Source organism: Homo sapiens, chromosome X (assembly GCF_000001405.40).
Source record: "Homo sapiens chromosome X, GRCh38.p14 Primary Assembly".
In the NCBI taxonomy this organism is placed as follows: domain Eukaryota; kingdom Metazoa; phylum Chordata; class Mammalia; order Primates; family Hominidae; genus Homo; species Homo sapiens.
The window spans coordinates 135,271,211-135,285,137 of record NC_000023.11 but is presented as its reverse complement, the minus strand read 5'-3'; the positions used below and the strand labels follow the sequence as shown (position 1 = coordinate 135,285,137).

Below are 13,927 nucleotides of genomic sequence, written 5' to 3'. Positions count from 1 at the left end.
GAAGTGACCTGGGAGGAAAGGATCTCATATTCCCAAAGGCTTGGAGACTATGACTGCCTCACCACCCCTCCTCCTAGAATGATCTGAGATTGTGCCCTTGAAACTAAAATGGGAAATTCAAATTCCTGCAGGGGACTCCATTCTCTTTGTGTGAATCCATGTTTGCTAGCATCCTGGATAGCTGCTATCATACCACCATTCAAATAAATTTATTCATGTAGCTTTTATAAAGAAGGGAGGTTAACTAAAAAATTCAAGGATGTACTAGGTCAATGGACCCAGCAGTTATACTCATGAGAATCAGCAAAGTCCCCCAGAACAAGTCAGCAAAAGAGCACTCCACTTTCCTAAAGCTGCTTACCCCTGTTATAATACCTGTTACCTTCAAAGCTTATCGTGCAGGTCCTCATCTACACTGGCATCATTATCAGCAGGGTTTGAGAGCAGGGAACATGGGTTCTATTTGAGAGATCAATTATTTAAGGCAAGTGGCAGGAAGTGACTGCCTTTAGATGGGTCTGAGCAGAAACAGAGAACTGGGATTTGTTATTCCAAGTTCAGATACTCCACCATCATTTGAATACAAGGGCCCCAGGAAAAAGCACATTCTCATCCCTGAGGTTGTGGAACAGGATCTAGAAATCAGTGCTCCTGGCTGACTCATTAGTGCCCAGTCTGCCCTTCAGCCCTCTGACACAGTCTCCTAGGGCCACATTCCCCGTGCATCCTGACTACTCATGTCATCCCTTGCCAACTCAGAAAAAGAGGAGAAATGTATGTCCATGGAGATATGGGAAGTAAGGAAATAAATGGCAGAATGAGATAAAGGGAAGAGATGTCATTCTATTGCATAACTGCCCACCACCTTCTCAGTACATGGCTAATAGACATGAGCTCCATTGCCTTTCTGAGGACACAAGAGAAAGGCAGCATACAAAAGCTCAGGAACTGGAGAAATGGACAGATTATTCATTCATGGGACAGAGTGAAGAGGCAGAATGCTCCAATTCTTGATCCCACAGACAGAGATGGAACTGAAGAACTGAACCAAGTGTGAGGGGGTATGAACTCGTTTTCCAGTCTCTGTGCTCCCAGAGAAGATGAGCTGAGCAGAGAAAGATAAGAAAGGGTCTAGGAGAGCAGAGTTTAGCAGGCTTTTTCCACTTGTGTGCATTTGTGAGGACTGAGATTGGAAGTCAGGGACTCAGGGAGCCGAATGCCATTGCTTGCTGTGGATGAGACACAAGAGCATGTGAGTGGGTCAAGCCTACCCTGTGCCAGACTCAGGTCTCCACCTTTTCCCTCCCAGCAAACAATGACATGGTTTCTACCCATGGGCCTTTTTGGGTTCCTTCTAGCTCCTTCTCCACTCCCAAGAAACCTCTTCCTCCTTTATTGCCTTGTTCTGTCTGCCACAGGCCAATCCTGCTCCTGCCACTTTGCCACTTCCATTCTTTCAGGGAAGGAGAGGAGGAGGGGCCCAAAGACAGGGTGTAGTGAGTGTTATTGTGTTCCACTATTCCCAGAGGAATGGGCACAATAACTGAGAGTGGAAAGGCAGAGTTGGGGAGAGAAGAATAAACAAAACGGAATCATGGCCTAGTCTTCTGTCAAGTAATTTAAAGGCTCTCCTTGCTACTTCCCCTTTAATCCTTGAAAAACACTAAATGGCAGGTAGGTGGGCATGGTGATGACCATGTTGGGGAGGAAGCTGTTCCTCATTTAAAGGAGGGGGCTACCTACAAACTTCTGTTCTTAGCTCAACAGCAAAGCCCTCCCATTCTCATTCTTGTTTTCTTTGCCTTCCTCTTCTCCCTCCATGCTCCCTGATCCTTCCTACCATTGTGGGTTCATGCATGAGACACTGGTAGAGAAGAAGGGACAGGAAGCCAGGGAAACTCTCAAGGACCATCAATCATGAGATATAAAGGGAGAGGTCAGGAGCCATGTTTGAGAGCAGTAGAGGGATAATATCACTCTTAGATCTGGACAACCCAGGGAAAGAAGAGAGGGAAGGAGGCCAGGTCAGCTTTGAGAAGCAGTTCTGCTCCAGGGCTGGGAGTTAGGGAGGAAGTAGGGAGGAGGACCTATGCAATGCCAAGAAAGATTTCCCTTGTCCCTCTTTAGGCTCTGTGTATCTCAGTGTGAGACTTGGGATGATTAGTTGACCATAAATGTATGATTTTGGTGGCTGGTAAGATGGCCAAATAGGAACAGCTCTGGTCTGCAGCTTCCAGTGAGATCAATGCAGAAGGTGGGTGATTTCTGCATTTCCAACTGAGGTACCCAGCTCATCTCATTGGGACTGGTTAGACAGTGGGTGCAGCTCATGGAGGGTGAGCAGAAGCAAGGTGGGGTTCACCTTACCCGGGAAGTACAAGGGGTTGGGAGAACTCCCTCCCCTAGCCACGGGAAGCCCTGAGGGACTGTGCCCTGAGGGATGGTGCATTCCAGCCCAGATACTACACTTTTCCCATGGTATTCACAACCCACAGACCAGGGGATTCCCTCAGGTGCCTATGCCACCAGGGCCCTGGGTTTCAACCACAAAACTGGGCAGCTATTTGGGCAGACACTGAGCTAGCTGCAGGAGTTTTTGTCATAACCCAGTGGCACCTGGAGAACCAGCAAGACAGAACTTTTCACTCCCTGGAAAGGGGGCTGAAGCCAGGGAGCCAAGTGGACTAGCTCATTGGATCCAACCCCACGGAGCCCAGCAAGCTAAGATCCACGGGTTTGAAATTCTCGCTGCCAGCACAGCAGTCTGAAGTCGACCTGGTACGCTCGAGCTTGATGGGGGGAGGGGCATCCACCATTACTGAGGCTTGAGTAGGTGGTTTTCTCCTCACAGTATAAACAAAGCCACCAGGAAGTTCAAACTCGGCAGAGCCCACCACAGCTCAACAAAGCTACGCTAGCCAAACTGCCTCTCTAGATTCCTCCTCTCTGGGCAGGGCATCTCTGAAAGAAAGGCAGCAGCCCCAGTCAGGGGCTTATAGATAAAACTCCCAACTCCCTGGGACAGAGCACCTGGGGGAAGAGGTGGCTGTGGGCACAGCTTCAGCAGCCTTAAGCGTTCCTGCCTACAGTCTCTGAAGAGAGCAACGGATCTCACAGCACAGTGCTCGAGCCCTGCTAAGGGACAGACTGCCTCCTCAAGTGGGTCCCTGATCCCCATGCCTCATGACTGGGAGACATCTCCCAGCAGGGGTCAACAGACACCTCATAAAGGAGAGCTCCAGCTGGCATCTGGCAGGTGCCCCTCTGGGACAAAGCTTCTAGAGGAAGGAAGAGGCAGCAGTCTTTGCTGTTCTGCAGCCTCTGCTGGTGATACACAGGCAAACAGGGTCTGGATTGGACCTCCAGCAAACTCCAGCAGACCTGAAGCAGAAGGGCCTGACTGTTAGAAGGAAAACTAACAAACAGAAAGGAATAGTATCAACATCAACAAAAAGGACGTCCACACAAAAACCCCATCTGAAGATCACCAACATCAAAGACCAAAGGTAGATAAATCCATGAAGATGAGGAAAAAACAGCACAAAAAGGCTGAAAATTCCAAAAACCGTAATGCCTCTTTTCCTCAAAAGGACCACAACTCCTCGCCAGCAAGAGAACAAAACTGGACGGAGAATGAGTTTGACAAATTGACAGCAGTAGGCTTCAGAAGGTGGGTAACAACAAACTCCTCTGAGCTAAAGGAGCATGTTCTAACCCAATGCAAGGAAGCTAAGAACGTTGAAAAAAGGTGAGAGAAATTGCAAACTAGAATAATCAGTTTAGAGCAGAACACAAATGACCTGAAGGAGCTGAAAAACACAGCACGAGAACTTCATGAAGCATACACAAGTATCAATAGCTAAATCGATCAAGCAGAAGAAAGGATATCAGAGATTGAAGATCATTTTAATGAAATAAAGCATGAAGACAAGATTAGAGAAAAAAGAATGAAAAGGAACAAAGCCTCCAAGAAATATGGGACTATGTGAAAAGACCAAACCTACATTTCACTGGTGTACCTGAAAGTGACAAGGAGAATGGAACCAAGTTGGAAAACACTCTTCAGGATATTATCCAGGAGAACTTCCCCAACCTTGCAAGACAGGCCAACATTCAAATTCAGGAAATACAGAGAAAACCACAAAGATATTCCATGAGAAGAGCAACCCAAAGACACATAATTGTCAGATTCACCAAAGTTGAAATGAAGGAAAAAATGTTAAGGGCAGCCAGAGAGAAAGGTCGGACTACCCACAAAGGGAAGCCCATCAGACTAACAGCGGATCTCTTGGCAGAAACCCTACAAGCCAGAAGAGAGTGGGGGCCAATATTCAACATTCTTAAAGGAAAGAATTTTCAACCCAGAAGTTCATATCCAGACAAACTAAGCTTAATAAGCAAAGGAGAAATAAAATCCTTTACAGACAAGCAAATGCTGAGAGATTTTGTCACCACCAGGCCTACCTCACAAGAGTTCCTGAAGGAAGCATTAAATATGGAAAGGAAAAACCGGTACCAGCCACTGCAAAAACATACAAAATTGTAAAGACCATCGACACTATGAAGAAACTGCATCAAGTAATGGGCAAAATAACCAGCTGGCATCATAATGACAGGATCAAATTCACACATAAAAATATTAACCTTAAATGTAAATGGGCTAAATGTCCCAATTAAAAGACAGAGAGTGGCAAATTGGATAAAGAGTCAAGATCCATCACTGTACTGTATTCAGGAGACCCATCTCACGTGCAAAGACACACATAGGCTCAAGATAAAGGGATGGAGAAATATTTACCAAGTAAATGGAAACAAACAAACAAACAGAAAGGGTTGCAATCCTAGTCTCTGATAAAACAGACTTTAAACCAAGAAAGATCAAAAAAGACAAAGAAGGGCGTTACATGATGGTAAAGGGATCAATGCAACAAGAAGAGATAACTATCCTAAACATATATGCACCCAATACAGGAGGACCCAGATTCATAAAGCAAGTTCTTAGAGACTTACAAAGAGATGTAGACTCCCACACAATAATATTGGGAGACTTTAACACCCCACTGTCAATATTAGACAGATCACCAAGACAGAAAATTAACAAGCATATTCAGGACTTGAACTCAGCTCTGGACCAAGCAGACCTAATAGACATCTACAGAACTCTCCACCTCAAATAAACAGAATATACATTCTTCTCAACACCACATCCCACTTATTCTAAAATTGACGACACAATTGGAAGTAAAATACTCCTCAGTAAACGCGAAATAATGGAAATCATAACAGTCTCTCAGACCACAGTGCAATCAAATTAGAACTCAGGATTAAGAAACTCACTCAAAACCTCACAACTACATGGAAATTGAACAACCTGCTCCTGAATGACTAGTGAGTAAATAACAAAATTAAGGTAGAAATAAATAAGTTCTTTGAAACCAATGAGAACAAAGATACAATGTACCAGAATCTCTGGGACACAGCTAAAGCAGTGTTTAGAGGGAAATTTATAGCACTAAATACCCACAGGAGAAAGCAGGAAAGATCAAAAATTGACACCCTAACATCACAATTAAAAGAACTAGAGAAGCAAGAGCAAACAAATTCAACAGCTAGCAGAAGACAAGAAATAACTAAGATCAGAGCCAAACTGAAGGAGATAGAGACATGAAAAACCCTTCAAAAAATCAATGAATCCAGGAGCTGTTTTTTTGAAAAGATTAACAAAATAGATAGACTGCTAGCCAGACTGATAAAGAAGAAGAGAGAAAAATCAAATAGACACAATAAAAAATGATAAAGGGGATATCACCACTGATCCCACAGAAATACAAACTACCATCAGAGAATACTATAAATACCTCTATGGAAATAAACAACAAAATCTAGAAGAAATGGATAAATTGCTGGACACATACACCCTCCCAAGACTACACAAGGCAGAAGTCGAATCCCTGAATAGACCAATAACAAGTTCTGAAATTTAGGCAGTAATTAATAGCCTACCAACCAAAAAAGCCCAGGACCAGACAGATTCACAGCCGAATTCTACCAGAGGTACAAATAAGAGCTGGTACCCTTCCTTCTGAAACTATTCCAAACAATAGAAAAAGAGGGACTCCTCCCTAACTCATTTTATGAGGTCAGCATCATCCTGATACCAAAACCTGAGACACACACACACACAAAAGAAAATTTCAGGCCAATATCCCTGATAAACATCAATGAAAAAATCCTCAATAAAATACTGGCAAACCGAATCCAGCAGCACATCAAAAAGCTTATCCACCACCTTCAAGTCAGCTTCATCCCTGGGATGCAAGGCTGGTTCAACATATGCAAACCAATAAACATAATCCATCACTTAAACAGTACAAATGACAAAAACCACATGATTATCTCAATAGATGCAGAAAAGGCCTTCAATAAAATTCAACACTCCTTTGTGCTAAAAAGTCTCAATAAACTTAAGTATTGATGGAACATATCTCAAAATAATAAGGGCTATTTATGACAAACCCACAGCCAATATCATACTGAATGGGCAAAAGCTGGGAGCATTCCCTTTGAAAACCACCAAAAGACAAGGATGCCCTCTCTCACCACTCCTATTCAACATAGTATTGGAAGTTCTGGCCACGGCAATCATGCAAGAGAAAGAAATAAAGGGTATTCAAATAGAAAGAGAGGAAGTCAAATTGTCTCTGTTTGCAGATGATATGATTGTATATTTTAAAAACCCCATCCTCTCAGCCCAAAATCTCCTTAAGCTGATAAGCAACTTCAGCAAAGTCTCAGGATACAAAATCAATGTGCAAAAATCACAAGCATTCCTATACACCAATAATAGACAGATGAGCCAAATCACGAGTGAACTCCCATTCACAATTGCTACAAAGAGAATAAAATACCTAGGAATCCAACTTACAAGGGATGTGAAGGACCTCTTCAAGGAGAACTAGAAACCACTGGTCAAGGAAATAAGAGAGGACACAAACAAATGGAAAATCATTCCATGCTCATGGATAGGAAGAATCAATATTGTGAAAATGGCCATACTGCCCAAAGTAATTTATAGATTCAGTGCTATCCTCATCAAGCTACCATTGACTTTCTTCACAGAATTAGAAAAAAAACTACTTTAAATTTTATAAGAAACCAAAAAAAGAGCCCGTTTAGCCAAACAATCCTAAGCAAAAAGAACAAAGCTGGAGGCATCATGCTACATGACTTCAAACTATACTACAAGGCTACAGTAACCAAAACAGCATGGTACTGGTACCAAAACAGATATATAGACCAATGTAACAGAACAGAGGCCTCAGAAATAACACCACACATCTACAACCATCTGATCATTGACAAACATGACAACAACAAGCAATGGGGAAAGGATTCCTTATTTAATAAATGGTGTTGGGAAAACTGGCTAGCCACATGCAGAAAACTGAAACTGGATCCCTTCCTTACACCTTATACAAAAATTAACTCAAGATGGATTAAAGACTTAAATGTAAGACCTAAAACCATAAATACCCCAGAGGAAAACCTAGGCAATATGATTCAGGACATAGGCATGGGCAAATACTTCATGGCTAAAATGCCAAAAGCAATGGCAACAAAAGCCAAAATTGACAAATGTGATCTAATTAAACTAAAGAGCTTCTGCACAGCAAAAGAAACTATCATCAGAGTGAACCGGCATCCTATAGAATGGGAGAAAATTTTTACAATCTATCCGTCTGATAAGGGGCTAATATACAGAATCTACAATGTACTTAAACAAATTTACAAGAAAAAAAGAAAACCTCATCAAAAAGTGGGTGAAGGATATGAACAGACACTTCTCAAAAGAAGACATTTATGCGGCCAACAAACTATTAAAAAAAAGTTCATCATCACTGGTCATTAGAGAAATGCAAATCAAAACCACCATGAGATATCTCACACAAGTTAGAATGGCAGCCATTAAAAAGACAGGAAACAACAGATGTTGGAGAGGATATGGAGAAATAGGAATGCTTTTACACTGTTGGTGGGAGTGTAAATTAGTTCAACCATTGTGGAAGACAGTGTGGTGATTCCTCAAGGATCTAGAACCAGAAATACCATTTGACCCAGCAATCGCATTACTGGGTATATACCTGAAGGATTATAAATCATTCTACTATAAAGACACATGCACAAGTATGTTTATTGCAGCACTGTTCACAATAGCAAAGACTTGGAACCAACCCAAATGCTATCATTGTTAGACTGGATAAAGAAAAAGTGACACATATACACCACGGAATACTATGCAGTCATAAAAAAGGATGAGTTCATGTCCTTTGCAGAGACATGGATGAAGCTGGAAACCATCATTCTCAGCAAACTAACACAGGAACAGAAAACCAAACACTGCATGTTCTCACTCATAAGTGGGAGTTGAACAATGAGAATACATGGACATAGGAGTGGGGGGAACATCGCACACTGGGGCCTGTCTGGGGGTGGGGGCCTAGGGGAGGGATAGCATTAGGAGAAGTACCTAATGTAGATGATGGGTTGATGGGTGCAGCCAACCACCATGGCACGTGTATACCTATGTAACAAACCTGCACATAGTGCACATGTATCCCAGAACTTAAAGTATAATTTAAAAAAGAAAGAAATATAACTAATCATATGATCCAACAGTCCCACTACTGGGTATTTGTTCAAAGGAAATGAAATCAATATGTCGAAGTGCAGCTTATATTTGCTGCTGCACTATTCTCAATAGCCATGATATGAAATCAACCTAAGTGTTCATGAGTAGATGAATAAAGAAAATGTGGTATATAAAAAAAGTATGATTTTATTTCTGGGCTCTCAATTTTGTTCTATTTGTCTATATGCCTACCCTTATGCCAGTACAACACTGTTTTTAATTATTATAGGTTTGCAGTAATTTCAAAATAAGGAAGTGGGAGTCCTCCAATATTGTTCCTCTTTTTCAAGATTGTTTTGGGTATTGGATGTGTCTTGTAATTCCATTCATTTAACCAATTTGCACAGAGAGAGAGAGAAGCCAGAGTCTGAATGGTAAGAAATTTTTACCCTTTTGCTGTCTTGCCAGATTTTTGGGTTCCCTCTCCCTGAGCAGCCCTAGTGACCCTGCTTGACTGTATGCAAACCATTGCCATGGATTAAGAATATTTTCAAAGAGCTTACAAATTTTTGAGAAATCAGGCAGAGAGAGAAATATGACTCAAATTCTGTTTACGAAAGTATACTCAACACATTTAAAGTATCAGGAAGCCTAAAATCCCAAAAGTTAGTGTAAGGTTAAAAAGCTGGTGTGTTCTATCAATTCCTGTGGTCCCAACAAAGTTAGCCTAGGAATTTCAGATAAATGGAACAAAAGATGACTTGCTAGAAATGCATAGGAAACAAAATATCGATTCACAGAACCAAATGAAAGCCTTCCACTAGAAACTAATAAATATATTATATATACATATGTAAAATATATATATAGTTTTATATGTGCATACACAAGCAACGCCAGAGGAAAATAAACAGCAAATGAATAAAAATTAGAAACAAAAACAAATAAACAGGAAACCAGCCCTAAATTTTTTCTACTCAATCTACCTTGGAGGCTACAGTCTTATGCAGGGACCCAAAAAAACCACACAATGAATGTTTTATTCCTGATAGACAAAATAATAACTTTAAGTTCACCAATATCATCATACATCCTGTGCAATCAAGAGATTTACTCTAGGCAAACAACCAATAAGTACTCCAGTGCCAGCACTATACATGCAAAACAGTAAACATAGTGTGAAGCAATTGAAAGCATGCATGTGATAAATTTGGCTCCACACTAAATCCAGCTTCATGCTTAACTATAGTTTAAAAATTTGCCAAACTGCTGATGCCTTTCTTTACAATACTTATTTTGCATTAATCAAGACTAAGAGCTTTAACTATGAAAATGTTAATTCGCCAATTCTCTTTCAGGTTTTAAAGAATATTTTATTATCTTAACTTTTTCTACATCTTTTCCCCCTATTTACTGGTTCCTTACTACATTGTTTCATGGCTAACCTTTTCAAATCTGTAATTTGAACTAACTTTTAGGTAACTTATGAATTAGACAAAATTACTTTTTTCTCACTATTAGCACAACACTTTCTGGCACATTTTGTAAGCAGAATTATGTGTTACCTAGAGTTCTTATCCTTGGTAACCTAAAACTGTAGTGAAACCCTAAAAAGCAAGAAACCCCAAACTGTCAGATATGGGCATTTATAGATAAGAACAATACATGATTTTAGAAACATATTTCACCATATCACAGCCCTTTCTTTATTGGAAATGACCCAGATATTAAGTGAGCATCAAAAATAATTTTAAGTTTTTAATTTACACGTTTGCCTAAAATATTTATCCCATTCACTGTACACAATTCTTTCACTTTTAACAGTTTATCTAGATTACTTCTGTATACTGAGATATTAGACACTATCTTTTAAAGTTAGCTATTTCCTTGTTAACCATACTTTTAATAAACAGCGAGCATCATTTAGGTGCTCATGTAAACCTAAGTAAGAGCCTCAAAGTTAAATACATGGGTATTTTTGTCAATAACTCAGAGGATTTAGCTAACATTAAATTACTCTCATTTTTCATAAAAAAAGGCATGCTAACCAAGAACATTTTGCTTTGGCTGGGTTTATAGTTTTATTACCTTCTATGCCAAACCCTGACACCTCAAAATATCTAGCAGAGACAAATATAAAATCCAGACAAAAATGTATGCTGACAATTCTGAAGGCATTTCCATTTTTATTTTACCAATAATTTTAAAACCAGCATGTTTAGTAAAGTTACACTTAAGTCATGTGAACTTGAAAATTGCGTAGACTTAGTTACTTAATTTCTGAGTGCTCTTTTACTTACAAGACAATTTGGTGGACACAACATATAGCTATAAGTGTACATACAAATAAACATATCAAGGCATGCATATACACACACAAAGAAAGATTCAATAGCTTTTACCTTGGAACCCTAGCCACGAGATAGCAATACAAGCTCACTGGTTTTACTTTGTTTGCCTCAATAGGTAATCCAATGAAGGCTGTGAACCAAAATTTTGGGTAAAGCAGTTTCCATGGCAGTTTGATTTTTAAAGGCCAACCTTCTTCAGACTCCAAAGAACACTGGCACCAAACAGCACCAAAGGAGAACATCACATACTAATTAGGCCTGACCCTGTTTAGAAGAGCAGCACCAAAGCCTGGATACATGCAATTCCATTCCATTTTCCCATTCAACAGCAAACTCCAGATTCCAAACAGTATGGGGGCCAAACAGTATTGCAACTGCAAGAGAAAATTCTAAGGAGGGCTTAGTATTATGCCCCAGAGCCTTTGCCCAGGGGATCCCTCTTGGAGAGGTTGAGGTCCAGAAGATCCCCTGGGGCATTCCTTTTTTGGGGTCCACTCTTAGAGTGTCAGACTTCTTTGACCTTAGGTGGGCACTGGTGCTGCTTTGCATGTCTTCCCTCCAGAGGCAATGGCCTACTATTAGCTTTCCTTTGGTTCCTGTGTGTAATCCCTGACTTTTAGCATCCTTATGATTTGATAAGGCCATGCTTTCCCATGCTTTCTGTTCCACTAGAGTGATAACCATGAACTGTAATAATAGGAACTGGAGGCTCGGTGGGCTTCTTTTGTCCTAAGTCAGTTAAGTAGGATTAGGGAAGAATTTAGCATAAGAAAAGAAGGTTTAGGTTACCTGAAACATGTGTGAGTTCGCCCTGAGCTGCGAGTTTGCCCTGAGCTGTTCCACAATTAGGGATCAGAGACCACAACCAAAAAAGATAGAAAAGACTCCTTCAGAGTGGCCCCAGCCAGAACCCGGCAGTTGCCTCCATGTTTAGGCGCTGCCCATCAAGAGTCCTGAGTTGGAAAGGAAAAGAGAGAGAGAGGGAGATATTCCCCTGTATGGAGCAGAAAGGAAAAGGTGAAAAATAAATCCCAAACTTTAGGCTTACCTCCTGGCTGGCTCACCAAAGTATGTTATAATGGAGGGTGTCCAGGTTCTTGGCATCTTGAATGAAGAATTGGACGGAACACACAAACAAACCAAGGAAAGAATGAAGCATCAAAAGCAGAGATGTATTGAAAATGAAAGTACACTCCACAGGGTGGGAGTGGGCCTGAGGATAGGGGCTCAAGAGCCAGATTACAACATTTTCTGGGGTTTAAATACCTTCTAGAGGTTCCCATTGGTTACTTGGTATACACCCTACATAAATGAAGAGAATAAAGTAAAGTTACAAAGTCATTTACTAGGTGTACGCCCTATGTAAATGGAGAGGATATTTCCTGTCATAGCTGAAGTGTTTCCATTTGATGTAGTTCTAGGAAGTCAGCGTGAATTGGCCTTATGTTCTCTTCCTCCAGACTCTATTCTCCTGCCTCACTTCTCTAGTGCTTTTACTACCTTTACCTGCAGTTCTTTCCCCAAATTTATTGTGTTCTGCACTTTTAATTTTTAAGTAAATCTAATTTACACTTGAGGCATTTTCATCCCGCAACTGAGATAAGCCTAAAATGCTGTTCTGGGTTACTGTTCAGTCTCTGCTTTGTATATTTGAAAGTAATGAGAACACAACTAATAAAACTCAAATGACTTCGACACACAGTGTTTTCCCCCACTAAAAACATGGTTGCATACAGTTGAAATTATGAAAGCTAAATATTCTTGTCCTTGAAACTCCTCTACTGACTCTGTTAGAGTAGGCAGATAGCTGGATATGAGCAGGAGGGGGAGACCCTGAGATAAAAAGGAGATCTGGAAAATCTCACACCCCAGAGACCAGCAGAAACCGACATGCTAGATATGAGCAGAGAAGAGGGGTAATACCTATGCAGGAAGTAATGCCCCTTAAGACACCCAGTAATCACTCACTATGCAGTTAGCAGGTCAGAATGTGGCTAGTTACATGCTGGTAAGAAGAGAAAGAGGGCAAAGGAGAAATTCTTAAGAGATATGCAGATGCCATAAGTACAGATTTAGTTTTATACAACATTCTGGATGTGGTGGTAATAAGCAATGCAGCCATTCAGCTTGTTCCCATGTCAGCCAGATCAGCTGCACTTTCTCTGGTCCTCAACCAAATGAGATTCAGTTCTCTGCCAGACTGAAGCGATTAAAAACAAAACAACAACAAAAAACAATCATGTCTTTCCATAGGAACAAGAAGGTAGGCATGCCATCACCATGTGAGTAAAAAGTGTACCTCCCATAGGACTTACTGGTTCACTTTGCTCCTAAGTGCAACCCAGTTGTGGTCTTCTGTGTTGTGCTATGTCCTCCTCCCAGGGTGGTGAGTATATGAGACCAACAAACTGCTGCCAATCTGATCTCTTCAGTGATGGGTAATATGTGTTCAGCCATCTGGAGTTATTTAGAGTATGGAATCCTTCCTTCAACAATGGGGTGAATAGGAGGTGACCAGAACATGCTGTGACTCCCATTTTGTCTTTCGTGAAAGAATGCTGAGATCATTATATCCAGCATTCATCTTTGCAGAGTCACTGGCTTTGCAAGACATTAATAGAAGTCACTTCTGGTTCAGGAGACTAGGAAGAGAGGGCATTGGCTTACTTTCATTCATTTCTAGAAATCTGCAAATGAGAGGCACTATTTTAATACCTCCTTAATATTTATCAAACACCCATTATGTGTCTAGCATGCATTCATCATGAATGGCTTTTTAAATTTCCCACAAAAGAGTACACATATATTCACGACATAGATTTGCCTTCATCCATATTAGTCATGCTATGAGAGCCACAATTCTTGGACTTACAAACAAGCTCCCTAATACCGTTGTTTCTTCAAAACATTACTTTGTCCAGTAACTCTTTTTATGGCAACTGAAGAT

At 40.8% G+C, this 13,927-nt stretch overlaps 1 protein-coding gene across 1 annotated transcript in view, besides 1 other annotated feature; it reads left to right on the top strand.

Annotated features, from left to right (window-relative positions):
- Positions 1 to 13,927, top strand: part of ZNF75D (zinc finger protein 75D) — a 95,521-nt gene that overhangs the window by 58,972 nt on the left and 22,622 nt on the right. The window lies entirely within an intron of this gene.
- Positions 11,455 to 11,997: an enhancer, noted in NCBI's record as "OCT4-NANOG hESC enhancer chrX:134407073-134407615 (GRCh37/hg19 assembly coordinates)". NCBI's record gives its function as "activates a minimal SCP1, AML or CMV promoter by ChIP-STARR-seq in primed H9 embryonic stem cells {active_cell/tissue: H9 hESC(primed)}" and the evidence as "EXISTENCE:reporter gene assay evidence [ECO:0000049][PMID:30033119]".